At 38.5% G+C, this 23,170-nt stretch overlaps 1 annotated feature.

The window, feature by feature from the left end:
* Positions 5,007 to 5,116: a silencer, noted in NCBI's record as "silent region_20885". NCBI's record gives its function as "represses an Ori minimal core promoter by ATAC-STARR-seq in GM12878 lymphoblastoid cells {active_cell/tissue: GM12878}" and the evidence as "EXISTENCE:reporter gene assay evidence [ECO:0000049][PMID:35858748]".

Here is a 23,170-nt window from a genome sequence, read left to right as displayed (position 1 = left end):
TGGGAGAATCTCCTTGTCAGGGTCAGCTGCTGCTGTCTTCAGAGCTGCGAGGCAGAAAAGTTTAAGTCCGCTGAAGTTGTGCCCACAGCGTCCCCTTTTCCCAGGTGCTCTGTCTCAGAGAGACGGGAGTTATATCCATAAACCTCTGACTGGGGCTGCTGCCTTTCTTTCAGAAATGCCCTGCCCAGTGAGGAGAAATCTAGAGAGGCATTCTAGCCACAGGAACTTTTCCACACTGTGGTGATTTCTGCCCAGTCAAAACCTCCCAGCCTCCTTAGCACTGTCAGGGGGAAACAGTCTACACAAGCCTCAGTAATGGCGGAAGCCCCTCCCCCCACCAAGATTGATCATCCCAGGTTGACTTCCGACTGCTGTGCTGACAGTGAGAATTTCAAGCCAGTGCTTCTAGCTGGGCTCCGTGGGAGTGGGACCCACTGATCAAGACCACTTGGCTCCGAGGCTTCAGCCCCCTTTCAAGGGGAGTGGACAGTTTTATTTTGCTGGAGTTCCAGGCACCACTGGGGTATGAAAAAAACTGCTCCAGTTAGCTCGATGTCTGCCGAAACAGTGGCCCAGTTTTGTACTTGAAACCCAGGGCTCTGGAGGTGTAGGCACATGAGGGAATCTCCTGATCTCAGTTGGAAATGCAGAAATCACCCCCTTCTGCATTGGTCTTGCTTGGAGCTGCAAGACTGGACCATTTTCTATTGGGCCATCTTGCCCAACATGGATTGAAAAGGAGGAATCTTAAAATAACACTGCATTCCTTGGCTTGTGGCTTCTTCCTCCATCTCCAAGGTCAGCAGTATCGGCAAATCTCTCTCTGACTCTAATCTATTTAATCCATTTTAATTTTGCTTTTGCATATGGCAAGTGATGGTTTCATTCTTCTCCATATGGATATCCAGTTTTCCCAGCATTTATTGAAGAGACTGTCTTCCCCAGTGTATGTTCCTGGAACCTTTGTTGAAAATGAATTCACTGTAGGTGTGTGGATTTGTTTCTGGGTTCTCTATTCTGTGCCATTGGTCTATGAGTCTGTTTTTATGCCAGTGCCATGCTCTTTTGGTTACTAGAGCTCAGTGGTATAATTTTAAGTCAGGTATATGATTCCTCCAGTTCTTTTTTTATTTTTGTTTAGGATTGTCTTGGCTATTCTGGTTCTTTTGTGGTGTTATACAAATATTAGGATTTTTTTTTTCTGTTTCTCTGAGGAAGCCCTTTGGGATTTTGATAGAGACTGCATTGAATCTGTAGATTGCTTTGTATAGTATGGATATTTTAACAATATTGATTCTTCCAATCCATTAACATGAAATATTTTTTGGTGCTCTCTTCAATTTCTTTCATTAGTCTTTTATAGTTTTCAGTATAGAGATCTTTCACTTCTTTGGTTATTTGCTGGTATTTAATTTTATGTGTGGCTGTTGTAAATAAAATTACTTTTTAAATTTCTTTTTAACATTGTTCACGGCTGGCATATAGAAATGCAGCCAATTTTCGTATGTTAATTTTTTATTCTTCAATTGTACTAAATTTGTTTATCAGTTCCAACCATTTTCTTTTGGCATCTTTAGGTTTTTACAAATCTAAGATCACATCATCTGCAAACAAGAATAATTTGATTTCTTTTATTTTTCAATTTGAATGCACTTTATATATTTCTCTTGTCTAATTGCTCTAGCTGGGATTTCCAGTACTATACTGAATAACAGTCATGACAGTGGGCATCCTTGTCTTGCTCCAGATCTTAGAGAAAAGGCTTTCATTTTTACCCCATTCGGTATGATACTACTTGTGGGTCTGTCCAATATAACTCTTATTATGTACATGTATGGTTCTTCTATCACCAGTTCTTTGAGGGTTTTTATCATAAAGGGATGTTAAATTTTATCAAATGTTTTTACAGCATTAATTGAAATGATCTTATGGTTTTCATTCTTCATTCTGCTGATATGATGTATCACATAGATTTATTTGTGTATATTGAACACACTTTGCACCTCAGGAATAATTCCCACTTGTTCATGATGAATGATCTTTCTAATGTATTGTTGAATTCAGTTTGCTACTATTTTGTTGAGAATTTTTGCATAAATATTTATCAGATGTATGGCCTGTGGTTTTCATCTTTTGATGTATCTTTGTCTGCTTTTGGTATTAGCATAATACTGGCACCATAGAATGAGTTTGGACATATTCTTTCATCCTCTATTTTTCAGAATAGTTTGAATAGGAATGGTTTTAGTTATTTTTTCAATATTTGGTAGAATTCAGCAATGAAACCACTGGGTCCCAGGCTTTTCTTTGCTGGGAGACTTTATTAAGGTTTTAATCTCATTACTTGTTATTAATGTGTTCCAGTTTTGATTTCTTTCTAGTTCAATGCTGGTCACTTGTATATATCTAGAAATTTGTCCATTTCTTCTACATTTTACAATTTATTGGCATATAGTTTTTCATAGCAGGAACTAATGATCATTTGCATTTCTGCAGTATCAGTTGTAATGTTGAATTTTTCATTTCTGATTTTATTTATTTGTATTTCCTCTTTTTTTCTTACTTAGTCTGACTAAAGTTTGGCCAATTTTGTTTAACTTTTTAAAAACAAAATTTTTGGCTTTATTAATCTTTTGTATGTTTTTTAATTTCAATTTCATTTATTTCTGACTTGATTTTTATTATTATTTTTTCTTTACCTAATTTTGGTATTGGTTAGCTTCCGCTTTTCTGGTTCTTTAAGATACATTGTTAGATTTTTCATTTTAAGTTTTTCCTCTTTTTCAGTATAGGCACTAACAGCTATAATCTTCCCTTTTAGTAATTCTTTTGCTGTATTCTATGGTTGTTTGCATGTTATGTTTCCACATTGTTTGAGAAAAATTTTCAATTTTATTCTTAACTTCTTCATTGACCCACTGGTCATTCAGGAGTATATTGTTTAATTTTCATGTAAGAGTATAGTTTACAAATTTTCTCTTTTTATTATTATCTAATTTTATTTCACTGTTGTCACAGAAAATGCTTCACCTCCACTTGTTATTGTATTGGAGTCTATCTCTCTCTTTATCTCTAACATTTCCTTCATATATCTGGGTGCTCTGGTGTTGGGTGCATATATATTTAAAAGTTTCATATCCTCTTGCAGTATTGACCCATTTATCATACTGACCTTCTTTTTCTCACAGTTTTTGTCTTGAAATCTATTTTTTCTGATATTAAGTATAGCAGTTATTGCTCTATTTTGGCTCCCATTGAAATAGAATATGTATTCCCATCCTTTTATTTTCAGACAATGTATGTCCTTGTAGGTGAAAAGTGTTTCTTCTGGGATCAATGGTTCTTGCTTTCTTATCCATTCAGTCTGTGTCTTTCAATTTGAGAGTTTAGTCAATTTACATTCAATGTTATTATTGATATAGAAGGACTCACTCTTGTCATTTTATTATTTGTTTTCTGGTAGTTTTATGGTCTTCTCTTCCTTCTTTTTTCCTTTATATCTTCCTCTAGTGAAGGTGATTTTCTCTGGTGATATGATTTAGTTTGTTGTTTTTAATTTTTTGTGTATTGCTTGTATGGTTTTGCTTTGAGATCATTCATGTCATTTTCTTTCTGATTGAAGTACTCTTTTTAGCATTTCATGTAGGTCTAGTATTGATAAAAAAAACCCTCAGCTTTTGTTTGTCTGGGAAAGCCTTTATTTTTCTTTCATGTTTAAATAATATTTTTTATCAGATATACTATTTTAGGATAAAAGGTTTCCTTCCTTCAGTACTTTAAATATGTCATGCCACTCTCACCTGGCCTGTACTATCTCCACTGAGAAGTGTGCTGCCAGACTTATTGGAGCTCCATTGTATGTTATTTTTTTCTTTCCTTTTGCTGCTTTTAGGATTTATTCTTTATCCTCGAACTTTGGAAGTTTATTAAATGCCTTGAGATAGTCTTCTTTAGGTAAAATATGCTTGGTATTCTATAACAGTCTTATTTTTGAGCATTGACATCTTTTTCTAGTTTTGGGATGTTCTCTGTTATCCCTTTGAATAAACTTTCTACCCCTATCTTTTTCTCAGCCTCCTCTTTGAGGCTATCAACTGTTAGATTTGCCCCTTTCCGGGTATTTTCTAGATGCTGTAAGCACACTTTTTTTTCCTTTTGTCTTTTTTGACTGTTTATTTTCAAATAGCCTGTTTCCAAATTCACTAATTCTTTCTTCTGCTTGATCAGTTCTGCTATTAAAATACTCTGATGTGTTCTTCAGTATGCCAAATGCATTTCTCAGCTTCAGAATTCCTGCTTGTTTCTTTTTAATTATTTCAGTCTCTTTGTTTGATTTATCAGATAGAATACGGAATTCCTTCTCTGTGTTATCTTATATTTCTTTGAGTTTCCTCAACACAGCTATTTCAAATTCTCTGTCTGAAAGTTTACATATCTCTGTTTCTCCATAATTGATCCCTTTTGCCTTATTTGTTTCATTTGGTTAGGTCATGTTTTCTTGAATGATGTTGATGCTAGTAGATATTCTTTGGTTTCTGGGCATTGAAGAGTTAGGTATTTCTTGTAGTCTTCACTGTCTGGGCTTTTTTTTTTTACTTCTTGAGAAGGCTTTTCAGATATTTGAAAGGACTTCGGTACTATGATCTAAGCTGTATTCACTTTAGAAGGCACCCCTATCCCAGTAATAGTGTAATTCTTGCAGATTCATACAGTTACTGCCTTGATGATCTTACACAAGGTTTGATAGAATTCTCTGGATTACCAGGCAGAGACTCTTGTTTTCTTCCCTTACTCTCTCTTGAACAGAGTTTCTCTCTCTCTCTCTCTCCTCTCTCCTGAGCCACCTAAAGCTGAGAATAGAGTGACACAAGCACCCCTGTGACCACCACCACTGTGACTGTACTGAGTCAAATCCGAAGCCACTATGGGGGTTTCACCCAAGGCCTACTATAACCACTTCCTGGCTACTGCTTATGTTAGCTCTAGGCCCTGGGCCTCTACAATCAGCCAGTAGCAAAACCAGCTAGGCTTGTGATTTTTTCCTCCAGGGCAGCCAAGTCCCCAGGCCCTGGGTGTATCTAAAAGTGCCTTATGACACTCAGGGACTAGAGTAGAAAACCTTAGAAGTCTACTTGGTGTTCTATTGTATTGAGGCTGTGCTGGCACTCAAACCACAAGGTTCAGTCCTTCCCATTTTTCCTCCCCTTTCCAAAGGCAGAGGAGCCTCACTCCATAGCTACCACCACTCCAGGTGACAGGGAGTACTGCTAGACTGTCACCGATGTTCCCAAGGTCTCCTAGGTCAGCTTGTCATGAATGCTGTCTGGCCTCAGATTCACACTTCGGGGTAGTGTGCTCCCATCTGGCACAAGGAAGGTCCAGAAATTCTGTCCTAAATTCAAGTCCTGGAATCAAGGACCTGAAGTGTCCTCTTGGTGCTTGACATATGCCGTGGCTGTGCTGGTACATAAGGTGAAAGACAAAGTCTCCTTTACTTTTTCTCTGTGTTTCTCATGCAGAAAGAGCTTTGTCCCCGATCCACCACAGCTGGTAATGTGCTGAGTCTCACCTGAAGCTAGCAAGTCTCAGAGGCTCACCCAAGGCCCTCGATGTAGTGCCTGGGTGTATTAGTCTGTTCTCATGCTGCTAATAAAGATATATCCAAGACTGGGTAATTTATAAAGAAAATTGGTTTAATTGACTCATAGTTCAGGATGGCTGGGAAGACCTCATGAAACTTACAATCATGGAAGAAGGGGAAGCAAATACATCCTTTTTCACGTGGCAGAATCCAGAAAGTGCAGAGTAAAGCAGGGGAGAAGCCCCTTATAAAACCATCAGATCTTGTGATAACTCACCCACTATCATGAGAACAGCATGGAGGTTAACTGCCCCTATGATTCAATTAACTCCCACTGGGCCCCTCCCATGACACCTGGGGATTATGGAAACTACAGTTCAAGATAATGTTTAGGTGAGGACACAGCCACACCATATCAATGGACATCACTGCTGGTTACTTAAGGACCAAGGGCTCTTCAGTTAGCAGGTGATAAATGCTGCCTAGACTGGGTCCTTGCCTTCAAAAGAGCAGGGTCCCTTCTGGCACTGGGTGTGCCTAGAATTGTCATCTTGGAGCTAAGCCTGGATCAGAGGCCTCAGAACTCTGGCTGGTGTTCTATCCTGTTGTGGCTGAGCTGGTATCATAGATGCAAGAAGTTCTCCTCACTTTTTCCTCTCGTCTTCTGAAGCAGAAAGAAGGTGGTCTCTTTTGGAGCCTGAGCCATGTAGCCTGGCTTTAAGGAAAGGTTGATGCCAGCACTCATTTGGCTGCCTCATCTGATGTCTCAGTATGTCACACATCCCCTCTTCCCCAAGTCCACTATCTCTGGGCCTAATTCAACACTAGGACTTGCCTAAGAGTTGCAATCTTTTTGGCCTAGACTGCCTTTAATTTAAAATTTACAAAAAGTAATAGAGTGCTGAAGCCCTTGGTGGTGAGGTTTTGGAAGATCTCAAGTTTGGACTTCTGTTATCTGCAATTCCTCCCCTGGTTAGAGCTGGTTTAAATGTGCCCTACGTGGGCAGGTATCTGCTGAGTTTGGCTCTGTTTTTCTTTCTGCTCTAACAGAACATAAATGAGTTCGATGCTTCACAATTCCTGTGTTCTCTCTCTTCAAGCTCACAGGGAGGTTCTCCTCATCATGCCACTGCTGCCAGGTGTTGTGGGAGTGGTAGCATAGGCAATTCTGAACTGTTCTTTCAAATCTATTCAGTGCCCCTTTCAATGATATGAAGGTAAGAGTAGATACTATGAGTACTCTCCTGATTTTTGATTCCCATGAAGGTTTTCTTCTTTTTTCCGTGTAGATAGTTGTTAACTTGGTGTCCTTGTGTATGTGGGGCGGGTGGAGGGGGGACAATAAGTGGAGTGTTATATTCCACCACCTTCTTTCTACTCTTATCTTTGGTGGAAAACCTAAAAGATGAACTAATAAAAATAACCACTATAACAATTTTCAAGACTTACACACTACAATAAGACATAAAGAGGAACAGCAAAAAGTTAAAAGTAGAGGGAAGAAGTTAAAGTGTAGAATTTTTTATTAGTTTTCTTTTTGCTTGTTTGTTTTTGCAATCACTCTTCAGTTATAATCAGATTAAAATAATTGATTATATGATAGTATTTGCAAGCCTCATGGTAACCTCAAAGAAAAAAAAGAAAACAAGGGATATAGAAAGAACAAGCACAAAATTAAATCATACCAGAGAAATTCACCTTCACTTAAAGCAAAACAAGAAGGAAGAAAAGAAGAAAAAAGACCACAGCACAACCAGAAAACGAATGACAAAGTGGCAGGAGTAAGTCTCTACTTATCAGTAATAACATTGAATGTGAATGAATTAACTCTCTAATAAAATACATGGAGTCACTAAATGGATGAAAAAGGAAGACCCAATGATCTGCTGACTACAAGAAACATATTTCCACTATAAAGATACACATAGGCTGAAAGTAAAAGGATGGAAAAAGATATTCCATGCAAATGGAAACCAAATTGCACAGCAGTCACTATACTTATATCAGGCAAACTAGATTTAAAGGCAAATAGTTAAGATAAAATGAAAATGTTATTACATAATGATAAAGGGGCTAATTCAGCAAGAAGATATACCTATTGTAAATATATATGCACCAAACACTGAAACACACAGATATAGAAAGCAAATATAAATAGAGCAAAAGAGAGAGATAGACCTCACTTCAATAAAAGCTGAAGACTTCAACACTCCACTTTCAGCATTGGAAAGGTCTATACAAGCCCTACAACATCTCCTTCAGTATAACCATTCCGCTTTCTGGGAAGATAAACTGATTACCCAACACAAGCTATTCAAGCTGTAGAAATGTTACACCTATCTCTTTCTGTTTTCTAGGCAGTCTTTAACTCTTCCCCTGCCACATTACCCAGAGATGAGCATTTTTGATAGAATTATTACATGTTTTCCTGTAGAGTTGTTTGAGTTCCTTATATATTTTGGTACTTATACATTTCTTGCTTAGTACTGCTATCACTGTATTTCATTAGCTTTGGTATAATGTGTTTCCATATAGTTCCAATAAATTTTTCAATTTACTTCTTAATTACTTAATTGACTTTCTGTTCATTTAGGAGCACATTGTTTAATTTCCATTTGTTTGTATAGTTTTCAAAATTCCTCTAGTTGTTGATTTCTAGCTTTATTCCATGTAGTCAGAGAAGATGCTTGATAGTATTTCATATTCATTTTTTTGAATATTTGAAGTCTTCTTTTGTGACCTAACACACAGTCTATCCTTGAGAACAATCCACATGCTGAGGGAAAAAGTGTGTATTCTGCAGCTTTTGGATAAAGTGTTTTGTAAATATCTCTTAAGGTTCATTTGGTCTACAGTGCAGGTTAAGTTTAATGTTTTTGTTGATTTTCTGTCTGGGAGACCTTTTTAACTATACAAGCCCTACAACATCTCCTTCAGTATAACCATTCCGCTTTCTGGGAAGATAAACTGATTACCCAACACAAGCTATTCAAGCTGTAAGAAATGTTACACCTATCTCTTTCTGTTTTCTAGGCAGTCTTTAACTCTTCACCTGCCACATTACCCAGAGATGAGCGTTTCTGAAGTTCATCTAACTGATGAATTAACAAGACATCAGTTGGTGGTGGGATAAAGCATTCAGAGTAAGCACATATATGGCAGGGTGATTAGAAAGTAGCTATTTACCACAACACAGAAATAGGAGATAAATAAAATGAGTAGAAAGAGAGAAGAGCAGAACAGGTTGCTGTGTTGCTGTCTAGGAGAAGAGGTTGGACAATTAGTTTCCCTGGCTGTATTTTGTCAACCAATGAATCAGAGTAATTTAGTAGTGGACTGGGAAACTCTGCAGTTTTAGCCCAGGGAGGATGGGTGGGAGGGAATTAGTAGGTGGCAAGTTTCCCATGGTAGAATATGGAAAAAAGGAGACTGGTTGGGAGAGAATTGTGCATGTTCTGATACTCGTCATGTACACAGACTCATGGGTTCCTCTCAAACACCCTGGAAGGAGGTTGAAAAGAATAATTGCTCTATTTTTGAATAATCTGCCTGGAGTTCTAATTTTCCCCTAACTCATTTGGTGATTAGCCTTCAGGTGAAACTAAAGTATTGGCCTCCCAGTTAATGGCTAGTCAGTGTAGGACCACATGCTAATCTGTAAGGGGAAATGGGTATGATTAGTGCAGTCTACTCCTTTGTAATGCCTCTGTCTTTTCCTTCCCCCAGCCTCATTTCTCACCCCATACTTGTCCCCAGGCAATACTAATATGCTTGCTATTATTACAAATGTTTGCATTTTCTAAAATTTTATATCAGTGGAATCATCATAGTATGTACTTTTTTACCCAGCTTCATTCAGTCAGCAAAATTATTTTGAGATTAATCTATGTTGTGGTTTATATAAGTAGCTCATTCATTTTAACTGTCAGTAATATTTCATTGTATGGACTGTCTACAGTTTCTTTATTCATTCAACTGGAAACATTTGCTTCCAGTTGTTGGCTACTATAACTGCTGTGTACATTTTTGTACAAGTCTTTGCATGGTCATATGCTTGTATTTCTCTTAATTAAATAATTAGTAGTGGAATGGCTAGATACTGTGGTAGGCATATGTTTAACTTATTAAAAAGTGTCCAAACTGTTTTCTTAAGTGTTTACATTCCCATCAGCAATGTGTTAGAGTTGTAGTTGTTCCAAATCATAAAAACACTTGATAATCAGTTTTTCTAATTTTAAACACTCTAATGGTGACAGTCCAATGTTCTGAATTCAGGAACCTTCTCTATTCTTCTATCTGTCATTTTCTTCCTTCTCCTATGTCTGTATGTTGTGGGAAGTCAGGGACCCTGAATGGAGGAACCGGCAGAAGCCATGGCAGAAGAACATAAATTGTGAAGATTTCATGGACATTTATTAGTTCCTCAAATTAATACTTTTATAATTTCTTATTCCTGTCTTTACTGCAATCTCTGAACATAAATTGTGAAGATTTCATGGACATTTATCACTTCCCCAGTCAATACTCTTGTGATTTCCTATGCCTGTCTTTACTTTAATCTCTTAATCCCGTCATCTTTGTAAACTGAGGATGTATGTCTCCTCAGGACCCTGTGATGATTGAGTTAACTGCACAAATTGTTCGTAAAGCATGTGTGTTTAAACATTATGAAATCTGGGCACCTTGAAAAAAGAGCAGGATAACAGCAATGTTCAGGGAACAAGGGAGATAACCATTAGGTCTGACTGCCTGGGAGCCAGGCAGAACAGAGCCATATTTCACTTCTTACAAAAGTGAATATGAGAAACATCACCAAATTCTTTTTCTCAGCAAGGAACAGCCCTGAGAAAGAGAATGCATTCCTAGGGAGAGGTCTCTAAAATGGCCACTCTAGGAACGTCTGTCTTCTATGGTTGTTGATAAGGGATGAAATAAGCCCTGGTCGGCCATAGCACTCCCAGGCCTATTAGGATAAGAAAATTCCTGCCTAGTAAATTTTAGTCGGACCGGTTGTCTGCTCTCAAACCCTGTCTCCTGATAAGATGCTATCAGTGACAATGTGTGCCCAGTGGGACATGAAACTTCATTAGCAATTTTAATTTTGCCCCAATCCTGTGATCTCGCTCTGCCCTCATTTGCCTTGTGATATTTTATTGCCTTGTGAAGCATGTGATCTCTGTGACCCACACCCTATTCATACACTCCCTCTCCTTTGAAAATCACTAATAAAAACTTGCTGATTTTGCAGCTTGGGGGGCATCATGGAACCTGCCAACATGTGATGTCTCCCCCAGATACCCAGCTTTAAACTTTCTCTCTTTTGTACTCTTTCCCTTTATTTCTCAGACCGGACAACACTTAGGGAAAATAGAAAAGAACCTACATTGAAATGTCAGGGGCTGGTTCCCCCAATATCTGTGTGTAGGGTTCTGGTGGAATAAGTTATCTCCTAGTTGAGGCAGGGCTGTGCTTCAGTGTACCTGGGTCACTGATCTGGGACTCTAAATATTCTGAGTATCCATTACCTCCGAAGTATAATGTAGACAAGTGGGAATCTGTGAAAATCAGAGCATATGTAAATGTTATTAGGTTTGTCCTTGTAGGCACCCTGCTCAGGAATCTGGCTTGAGCCTCAGCCCTGCCATAACCATACCAGCTCAGATGAATCACAACAAATCACTCAGCTTTTCTTTCACACCTGCCAAAAACGGGACCCATATGTATAGACAGAGGTTGGGTTATGGTCTTCCTACCTCTTGGGTTCTGCTATGATCTGAACGTGTCCCTCCAAAATTTATATGTTGAAATTCTAACCCCCAAGGTGATGGCATTAGGAGGTGGGGGACTTTGTGAAGTGATTAGATAATAAAAGCAAAACCCTCATGAATGAGATTAGTGTCCTTATGAAAAAGAGCCCAGAGTACTAGCTTTCCTTTCTGCCATGTGAGAACACAATGAAAAGGTGGCCTTCCGTGAATTACTAAATGTATTATCACAGGATACTAAATCTTCTGATGCTTTGACCCTGAACTTCCCAGCCTCCTAAATTCTGAGACATCAGTTTCTGTTGTTTACAAGCCACCCAGTCCATGGTATTTTGTTATAGTAGCCCGAATGGACTGAAACAGAAAATTGGTACCAATAATAGAGTACTGCTATAACAAATCTCTAAAAACGTGAAAATGGCTTTGGAACTGGGCATTGAGTAGAGGTTGAGTAATGGGTAGAGATGCATGCTAGAATAAGCTTACATTGCTTTCAATACACTGTTAAGGGTGATTCTGGTGAGAGCCTGAGAGAAGAGGAGGAGAGCTGTAAATAAAGTCTCAATTTTTGTAGAGAATATCTAAGTGGTTGTTGTGTTAGTCTGTTTTGCATTGCTAAAAAGGAACACCTGATGTTGGGTAACTTATAAAGAAAAGAGGTTTATTTAGCTCACCATTCTACAGACTGTATAGTAAGCATGGCATCAGCATTTGCTTCAAATGAAGGCCTCAAGAAGCTTTTACTCCTGGCAGAAGGCAAGTGGGGAGCAAGTGTGTCACATGACAGGGGATGGAACAACAGAGAGGGGAGGAGGTGCCAGAATCTTTTAGTCCACCAGATCTTGTGTGAACTAATAGAGTGAGAACTCACTCATTACCATGGGGAGAGCATCAACCCATTCATGAGGAATCCACTCCCATGACCCAAACAATTCCCACTAGGCCTCACCTCCAATATTAGGGGTCACATTTCAACATGAGATTTGGAGAAGATAAATATCCAAGGCATATCAGGTGTTAATGAATGTTGGCAAAAATATTGATGGTAAAGGCTATTCTGAAGAGGTCTCAGATGGAAACGAGTTACAAGTTATTGAACAATTGTGGAAATGGTAAAGAATGTGTCTGAATTATGTTTATGTTCTAGTATTTTGCAGGAGGTAGAACTTGTGAGCAATGAAATTGGATATTTGGCTGAGGATATATCTAACAAAATGATGAAGGAGTAGCCTGGTCTTCCTCAACTGCTTATAGCAAAATGTGAGAAGATAAAAATGACTTAAAGATGGAAATGTTGAGCAGAAGGAAAGCAGAAATTAAAATTTTGAAAAATGTGTAGCCTATCCAGATTATAATATATATACAATATATAATATATATTATAATATATATCTATATATATAGATATATAGTCTGTTAGAAATTCTGTTTGGGAGAGAACATTAAGTATGTGGCCAAATTTGATAATGAGATTAGTATGGATCAGCCATCTCAACGGAAGTTAGAAGCTATTCATTAAGACAATGGGGAGATTAGTCAGCCACCTAAAGAAAAGGCAGAACCTATAGTCAAAGACAAAGGAAGAATAATCCTAAAGGTTTTTTTGAAAAGGTCTCACTCTGTTGCTTAGGCTGGTATGCAGTGGAACAATCATGGCTCACTGCAGACTCAACCTCCAGGCTCAATCAATCCTCCCACCTCATTCTTCTGAGTAGCTAGAACTACAGGCACACACCACCACATCCAGCCAATTTTTGTATTTTTGTAGGGATGGGGTTTTACCATGTTGTCCAGGCTGCTCTTGAACTCATGGGTTCTAATGATCCACCTACCTCAGCCTCCCAAAATGCTGAGATTACAGTCATGAGCCACCACATTCGGCCCTAAAAATATTTCAAAGATCATTGGGACTGCCTTTCCCATCACAGATCCAGACTTCAAGAGCCTGGGTGGAAGGTAGACCAATTTTAAAGGAGAGGCCACTGATGCCTGGCTCTACCTCAAATCATGGACTTCACACTTCATACACCATCACTGTGCTCCCCAGCTGCCTTAGGTGCAGTTCTGACAGGCCTCAGAGCAGCATGCACTGTGCCCGGCAAAGCTGTGGTCATGGCTGCCTCCACATAGATTTTAAAGGATGCCCCCAGAGAGCTGTGGAGCTCCTGTAGGAAACCATTGTGGAGTTGAGGCCACCAGAGAGAACCCACACCAGGGTAAGGCCCAGTGGAGCCATGGAGTGGGGCTGCCCCCAAGACTCCAGACTAGTATAGTCAGTGCCGTTTGATTCCAGATTGAGAGAGCCACAGGCATGAGACTCAAACCTGCAAGAGCTGTAACATGGACTGCATCTAGTAAAGCCAAGTGGGTAAGGCCGCCCAAATCTGTAGATGTGGGACCTTCACTCCAGTGTGTCTAAAAGGTGGAACGCCCACCCTTGTGGGCATGGAGGGCAGCACATTGAGTCAATGAAGACTATTCTTGAGCCTTAAGATTTAATATTACTTGCCATGCTGAATTTTGGACTCATTTGGCACCTTTCACTGCTTCCTTCTTTTCCAGTTCTCATTTTTGGAATGGAATGTCTGTCCTGTGCCTTCTCTACCACTGTATTTTGAAAGCACATATTTTGTTTGATTCCACAGGCTAACATCTGGAGGAACATTTGCCTCAATACAAATCATGCCTTGAATCTCACACGTATCTGATTTAGATAATATTTAGATGAAACCTTAAACTTTAGACTTTTGAGTTGATGCTGAAATGAGTTAACACTTTTGGAGTTATTGGATTGGAATTAATGTATTTTGCCTATGATAAAAACATAAAGTTTGGAGGTCTAGAACTGGAATTCTGTAGTTAAAATGTTTTGAGCTCTCATGATTTGGGTTAGTGTCCATATAAAAATCATGAGCTCTCATGATTTGAATTAGTGTCCATATAAAAAGAAACTCCAGAGAGCTAGCTCACCTCACACACTATGGGAGGACACAGTAAAAAGACAACCAAGTGGGCCCTCACCAGGCATCACATCTTCTGGTGCTCTTATCTTGGACTTACCAGCCAGCAGAGCTGCAATAAATAAATTTTTGTGGTTTAAAATCATCTAGTCTATGGTATTTTGTTTTAATAGCCCAAATAAACTGTGACAGGTTCCATAGGCATTTGCTCAATTTCTTCCAGAAAGAATCTTACTTTTTGTTTCCTTCATAGGTCTTACTCTAAAGACTGAATTCTTTCTTGTTGAGTACTACACCTGACCTACTAGGGAATCAAATATTATGCCTTGGTATTGTGAGAAGGATAAACTCTTTCTGGATGATAAAGAGAAATCTCTATTGCTTCTCCAGCATCCCTGTGTGGGAGGAGCAGACTCACAGAATCACAATCTCCCAAAGATAGAGGCCTTTAGAGACCATCGAATCAGTGCCCTTGTTGTATAAAAGATATGAAGCCAAAGTTATAAAAATGCTTTGTTCAAGTTTATTCTGGGAATCAGTGTCAGTGTCAGGACTAGAATCAGGCCTTCTTTCTTTTAGATCAGCACTCTTGTAGGTTTGAAATATTTGTGAATGAGAACCTTGTGAGAGCCAAATAAATGTTATTTTGTCAATAAAATAGCTGCAGCTCATAAATCTTGGGAGAATTTTTTTTTGAATTGAGGGCTGTATCTGCTCAGCACCCTAGCCCATCCCATCTCTGAAGTTCATAGGAAGTAACAGATTTCTTCATTTCCTGCACTTGGATTAATTGGCCAGTCTTGTATTGGCTAATAATAAAGGGCACATTGGCTGAGGGCCTAGGAGAAGCACCAGCTAGAAAGTTGGCATATGGAATACAGGAAGCTGAAGAAAGTAAGTTAAAGAAGATAATAGTAACAGTGGCTAATATTTATTGAGATCTATCATGTGCCTAGTGGTGTTCTGAGAACTTTAGGTAGGTCATATTATTTTATCCTTATATCAATCCCATGCAACAGACACTATTATTATTATCATCCTAATTTTACGGATGAGAAAAAAATAAGAGGCATAAAAGTGGTGAGTAACTTGCCCAAGGTCATAGGTAAAAGCTGGTAAATCCTAGCACTTTGGCTCCAAAGCCCATGCTCTTGTCTCCTATGCTATAGAATAAAGGCATGCAAGGAGTTAGTGGAAGCACAGAAAGACTGTCTGTGGTAGTTGAGTACTAAAAGAGACCTACTGCTTGCAAGAGCTAGGTTTAAGTTGGGGTCAGGGGCACAGTGCCATTGGGCCTGAAGGTGGCCAACACCAGAGTTTGGCTTATTAATATAACTACTGCTGCCTAGATGGGCAGAGTCAAATAAAACATATAACTTATTCATTCAACCCTTCATATATTCAACAAGAATTCACTGAAAATCTAACTCTATGCCAACATTATGTTGTGTTATGTGAAACACAGACACAAACCAGACACAACTTCTGGCCCTTGGTACTCATAATCTATCAGAAAATATAAAACGTGGACACGACAATGATATTATAGAGAAGTAAGCGATAACACAGACATCGGTGGTCAGAAAAGTCTTTTGAGTGGAGATGTCATTTGAGTTGGCTTTTTTTGTTTGTTTGTTTTGTTTGTTTTTTTATGGAGTCTCACTCTGTCACCCAGGCTGTAGTGCAGGGGCGTGATCTTGTCTCACTGCAACCTCTGCCTCCCAGGTTTAAGCAATTCTCTGCTTCAGCCTCCTGAGTAGCTGGGATTACAGGCATGTGCCACCAAGCTTGGCTAATTTTTGTAATTTTAGTACAGACGTGGTTTCACCATCTTGGTTCATCTTGGTCTTGAACTCCTGAACTCATGATCCACCCACCTCAGCCTCCCAAAGTGCTGAGATTACAGGCATGAGCCACCACGTGTGGCCGAGTTGGGTTTTAATGGGTGAGTAGGGTTTTGACACATGTAAATATAGGAAAGAACATTCCAGGCAGAGAAAACAACATTAACAAAATCAAGGAAGAAAATGGAGTATGTATTTGAAACATAAAGCAGTTTAACTTGGCTGAAGCATGGACTAAGAATACAAAAAATTAGTAGCTAATATCTACATATCAGTTCATTTAGTTTTCATAACAACCCTTTGAGATAGATACGGTCATTGCTTCCATTTTACAAATAAGAAAATTAAGGCTCAGAGTGGATAAGTAATTTACTAGAGGTCTCACAGCTAAAGAGTGGTGAAGCTAGAATCTGAACTAAGGAGGTTGGTTCAAGAGTGCATGTCTTTAATAGACGATAAGTATTTGGACTTTACTGTGAGTAAGAGGAGCCACTGAGAGTGTTAAATACTTAATTGAATTAGAATGAATTAACATTTTTATAGTTCTCCCTGGTAACAAGATGAAGGTTGCATTGGAGGGAGACTGGAAGCAGGTTGATCAATAGGAGGCAGTGGTAATGTTGGTGGATTTGACCAGGCAATTTTCAGAGAACGGAGATAAATTGGTGGGTTTGTGAGACAGAGCTGTGGATTCCATTAAGATTGAACAAAAACTCAGGTTTGAATAATAGATTGAAGATTAATACCATGAGGCAAGAACAGTTGAAGTCTTCAAAGCCTCTGTTCTTGCAATCATCTTTTTTATTTGTACAGTGTGTGCTCTCCACTATTTTCAGACCTTTAGGGAAATAGATCAGAAGTTTCAGGAAAGAAAGGGCATGCACCCAAGTTGTGCTGATTATTCTCCATTGGTTCTCCTATGTCTACTCTGCCCTCCTCTACCTTGCTCTGCATCCTGGGAATTTTACTTCTATGGATCGTATCACCTGAGCTTCCTTCCACTCTCATTTCAGTTTGGGCATAATTTATATGTCATATATTGGCAAAAGCGCTAATAAATTAATATCTGTTGAAAATCATTAAGCACTTACTATAGTCTAATTATGTGCTAGATGCTTTACATACATTGCCACATTAATATCCACAAAAATTCATGTGGAGTAAATATTATTAACTATTTTATAGATGTGCAAACTGAGATTCAGTTAGATAAGGTGATATTTCCAAGTTCCCCCAGGTAGAAACCTAAAACAGGATTTAAACATAATTTAAATTACTTTTAAAGCCCATACACTTTATATCACAAGCTACAGTTATGTAAATATGCACCGTAGCAAAATGTGGGTTAGGAATTCTGGACTCCAGTACTAGTTTTGCTGTGTGACCTTGGAAAAGTCATTTCAACATTCCAAACATCATTTTCCTCATCTAAAAGTTGAAAATGATAATATCTACTTAAATGGGTTGCTGTAACCTTAGGGTCAAGGAAGAAAAAACATACATATACCTTACAAAAAGCACAAGGTACAAAACAAATAAGCAGGATTTAGTCAATTAGAAAGTGGTGAAGACTGACTCTAAGTCCCTGGCCTTCAGCAGCTTTCAAGGGGGTTGAAATCTAGTGATATTTTTTCTCTTTTACTATTGGTACTTGGTGTTTAAACAATACCTTACCTGGAACCCTGAAGTCTAAAAGAAAAACAGTTCTGATCAAAGTGAGATGAAGAATTCAGAGCCTACTCTATCCAGTTGCCACCAGCAGACCATAAAGCCAGAGCTTTGTGGTTTGCAGCCCAATCGTAGGCTTAAAATAACTGTCTGGCTCAAGATCAGTATTTTAATACAATAGAATGAAATAAAATGAAATATCAGAATACAGCAGATAGGAAATAGGTAAGTATAAATTTCTGTTTCAGTTCTATGTGTGTGTGTAAAATGTAAAGGTCAGATGTAAAATGTACTTCACATTTACAGAGTCCAGAAGTTGGAAAATTACTTACCTTGGGGACTCTGTTGAATTATGTAAATAATAATTTTTTTAATTTTTAATTTTTGTGGAGTCATAGGTGTATTTATTTGTGGGACACAAGGGATATGTTGATACAGGCATGTAATGCATACTAATCACATCACTAAAATGGCTTCTCTATCCTCCCAAGCTTTTATCCTTTGTGTTACAATCTAGTAATACATTTTGGGTTATATTAAAATATACAATTAGGCCGAGAGCAGTGGCTCATGCCTGTAATCTCAGTACTTTGGGAGTCTGAGGTGGGTGAATAATTTGAGGTCAGGAGTTTGAGACCAACCTCGCCACCAGGGTGAAACCACGTCTCTACTAAAAAATACAAAAATTAGCCAAGCACAGTGGTATGCACCTGTAATCCCAGCTACTTGGTAGGCTGAGGCAGGAGAATTGCTTGAACCCAGGAGGCAGAGGTCGCAGTAAGCCAAGATAGAACCACTGCACTCCAGCCGGGCAGTGGAGTGAGACTCCGTCTCAAAAAAAAAAAAAAAAAAAAAAAAAAAAAACAATTAAATTATAATTATAGCCACCCTGTCATGCTACCAAATACTAGGCTTTATTCATTGTTTCCAACTAGTTTTTTATGTCCATCAACCATCCCCTCCTCCCTCTGGAACCCCCCACTACCCTTCTCAGTCTATGGTAACTATTCTTGCATTCTCTATCTCCAAGGGTTAAATTGTTTTGATTTTTAGATCTCACAAATAAGTGAGAACCTGTGATGTTTGTCTTTCTGTGCCTGGCTTATTTCACTTAACATAAGAACCTTCAGTTCCATCCATGTTGTTGCAAACAAGAGGATCTTAGTCTTTTTTAAGGATGAATAGTACTCCATTGTGTATGTGTTCCACATTTGCTTTATCCATTCAACTGCTGAAGGGCACTTATGTTGCTTTCAAATCTTGGCTATTGTGAACAGTGCTGCAACAAACACAGGAGTGCAGATATCTCTTTGATATAGTGATGTCCTTTATTATGGATATATACTGAGCAGTGGGCTTGCTGAATCACATGGTAGCTCTATTTTTTTTGTTTTTGGAACCTCCAAAGTGTTCTCCATAGTGGCTGTACTAATTTATATACCCACCAAGCGTTCCATTTTCTCTAAATCCTCATCAGAATTTGTTATTGCCTGGCTTTTGGATAAAGCCATTTTCACTGGGATGAGATAATATCTCATTGTAGTTTCTATTTGCATTTCTCTTATAATCAGTGATGCTAAGCCCCTTTTCATGTGCCTATTTGCTATTTGTATGTCTTCTTTTGAGAAATATCTATTCACATTACTTGCTCATTTTTTGATCAGATTAATAGATTTATTTCCACAGAGTAGTTTGAGATTTTTATATATTCTGTTTATTAATCCATTATCAGATGAGTAGTTTACAAACATTTTCTCACATTTTTTTGGGTTGTTTCTTCACTTTTTGGATTGTTTTCTTTGCTGCCCAGAAGCTTTTTGAGTTGAGGTGATCCCATTTGTCCATTTTTGCTTTGGTTGCCTATACTTGAGAAATTTTTGTCCAGACCAATCAATGTCCTGGAGAGTTTTCCCAATGTTTTCTTGTAGCAGTTTCATAGTTTGCACCTTAGATTTAAGTATTTAATCCATTTTGATTTGATTTTTTTATATGGTAAGAGATAGTGGTCTCATTTCATGCTTCTCTGTATGGATGTACAGTTTTCCTAGCACCATTTATTGAGAAGACTGTGTTTTCCCCAGTGTACGTTGTTGGCACCTTTTTTGAAAATGAGTTCACCGTAGGTGTATTCATTTGTTTCTGGGTTCTCTATTCTGTTTTATTCATCTATGTGTCTATTCTTATGTCACTGTCTTGCTGGTTTTGGTTACTACAGCTCTGTAATATAATTTGAAGTCAGATAAAGTGATTCTTTCAGTTTTGTTCTTTTTGCCAAGGATAGCTTTGGCCATTCTGGGTCTTTTGTGATTACATATAATTTTTAGAACTGTTTTATTTTATTTCTGTGAAGAATGTCACTGATATTTTGATAAGGATTGCATTGAATCTGTAGATTGCTTTGAGTAGTACGGACATTTTAACAATATCGATTTTTCTAATCTAGGAACATGGAGTATCTTTCCATTTATTTGTGTCCTTCTCAGTTTCTTTCATCAGTGTTTTACAGTTTTCATTACAAGAATCTTTAATTTATTTGGTTAAGGTAATTACTAGATATTTAATTTTATGTGTAGCTATTGTAAATGGGATTGCTTTTTGATTTCTTGTTTGGATTGTTCACTGTTGGCATACAGAAATGCTACATATTTTTGTATGTAGATTTTGTTTCCTAAAACAAGTTTACTGAACTTACACATCAGTTCTAATAGATTGCTTGTGCAGTCTCTAGGTTTTTCCAACCAGGCTCTGGGAAACAGAAAAAAAATAAAAACAACTCTGAGTTCCCAAAGTGTGAAAGTATGAAAGTGGGATTGTCCACCCCCAAACACACATCTTCATTGGGGAACCTGAAGGTCCAGATCACAGGAGAAGGATTTGACCTTACCTAGAGCTGCGATGAATCTAAAGACCTAAACAAACCACCGTGGCATATGTCTACCTATGCTACAAATCTGCATGTCCTGCACACGTATCCTGGAACTCGAAATAAATACAATAAAGTTGAGAAGGAAAAATAAAAAAATAATAAAAAATTAAAAAATAAAAATAGTTTTTATTTTCTAAAGAATTTTGCTTTGTATGCAGTTTAAAGAAACAAATAGGTACTTGTCACAGCTGTCAGCCTGCCCCCCTCTCCCATTATCTACTCCCTAGGGGGAACTACTTGGAGCTCCTTTAGCTAAATAGCATGCTTATAAAGGTTTGTTGCATAGGTAGACGTGCGCCATGGTGGTTTGCTGCACAGATCAACCTATCACCTAGGTATTAAGCCTCAAATGCATTAGTTATTTATTCTGATGCTCTCCCTCCCCCGCCCAACCCCAGGTCCCAGTGTGTGTTGTTACCCTCCCTGTGTTCATGTGTTCTCATTGTTCACCTCCCACTTATGAATGAGAACATGCAGTGTAAAAACTATTTTTAAAAGCAAATTTAAATCAGATCATGTCACCAAATTACATAAAACCCTTAGTGGCTTACCATTGCAATTAGAACAAAATCTTCTCTTTCCCATGACTTACATGCTTCATCATGATCTGAATCCCACCTATCTTATTTCATTTCATACGACTCTCCCCCTTGATCTCTAGGCTCCAGTCACTCTGGCCTGCTTTTTATCCCCAAACACAAGCTTGTCTCCATCTCCAGGAGTTTGTACTTGCCATTCCCTCTGCCTGGAATCCCTTTCCCCAGATATTTTCACAGCTGCCTCCTTCTGTTCACAAGACTCAACTGAAAGTTGCCTCTTCAGAGAAGCCTTCCATGACAATCCAATCTCAAACAATCAGGCAAACCCAAATTGAAATTTAATTCCAGTCTAAAGTCAACTGGTCTGTACTCTTCAAAAGTGTCAATGTCATGAAAGACAAATGAAAGCTGGGGTTAATCTAGATTAAAGGAGCCTAAAGAGATAGAACTAAATGCAATCTATGATTTGACCTTATATTTACAAAAAAAAAAAGCTATATAGAGCATCATTTGGACAATTTGAGAAATTCAAATATGCATTGTATTCTAGATAATATTAATGTATCATTGTTAATTTTCATAAGTGTGACCATTGTGTATGAAGGAGAATGTCCTTGCTCTTTATGAGATACATGCTGAAATACTTATGTGTGACATGTCATGATGTCTGCAACAAACGTTCAAGTGGCTCAGTGAAAAATAAAGAGATAGATATGCAGATAAATAGATGGAGTTATAGATATTAAGTAAATGTGATAAAGTGTTAGCAATTGGTAAACCATATGTAAGTGATCACTGTGTTATTCTTGCAACTTTTCCTTAGGATTGAAAATTTTTCAAATCAGAACTGGGTGGAAAAAAATCTTGAAGTTTATTTAGTAGGTTTGTTACTGGTAGTAGCATTGGTGAATTAATTCCAAACTATTTTGGATGTGTTATAGGATTAAGCAAATGAGTAAATAAATTGACTGACCAAAGTAGCCCTCCAGGCACTTTCTATCACGTCATCCTGTTTTGTTTTCTTCATTGCACTTATTTTCTGAAACAACGTCTTCATGTATGTATGTCGGTTTAATGTCTGTATTTCCCCAGCCTTTAGCCAATAAATGAAATTTGAGCACGGAAAAAAAAAAAAAAAAAAAAAAACTAAACAAAATACAGTGCTAGAGGAAGCAGCCATTTCTGAATTTGTCTCACAGGGGTCCGTGAGGAGGGCTGCCAATGAAATTGGGGCAATACCACAGGGAAAAGAAAACCTCCAGCTGAACTTTGTAATAGTTTCAACTGAATGTGAAGTTTCCTCGACAGAAACTGGGGGAGGGGGAAAACTAGAAGTGCAGACATGAGCACAGAAGCCATGGCAGGTGAGGAGGCATCAAACCTGAAAGCCTTGCCTGCTTTCTCAGTGGGGAGGCTTGTAGCATGGGGCAAGTTTTCAGCTCTGCTCACCCACTGCCTGGAAATAAACTCAGTGCTGTTGGAGTGGGGGGCACAGTAGGAGATGGGCTATGTAGGAGTTGGGTGAGGCCTGTAACTGCTGGATTTTCCCCACTTCCCTGGCAACCTGCATGACACTGTAGGGGCAGCCATAATCCCCTCAGGAAGATAACTCCATTGGCTTGAGAACCACATCCCCATCCTCCACAGCAGCTGCAGCAAAGAGAGTCTTGCACTCAAGGAGTATCTGAACTCAGACACACCTAACCCTGCCCAGGTCTTTCTCTACCTGCCCTGGTAGTCGAAGACAAAGGGCATAAACTCTTGTGATCTCTGTGGCTCCACCCACCACCTGAGAAATCAGAATACTTATCCAGGTGACCCTAGGGCAAGATTTAATCCTCCCTTTACTACCACAGCTAATGCTGTCTTGAGAGCACCACCACCTGG

This window comes from Homo sapiens, chromosome X, assembly GCF_000001405.40.
Source record: "Homo sapiens chromosome X, GRCh38.p14 Primary Assembly".
NCBI lineage: Eukaryota > Metazoa > Chordata > Mammalia > Primates > Hominidae > Homo > Homo sapiens.
Note: the sequence above shows the minus strand (reverse complement) of the source record. Positions and strands in the feature narration are given on the sequence as shown.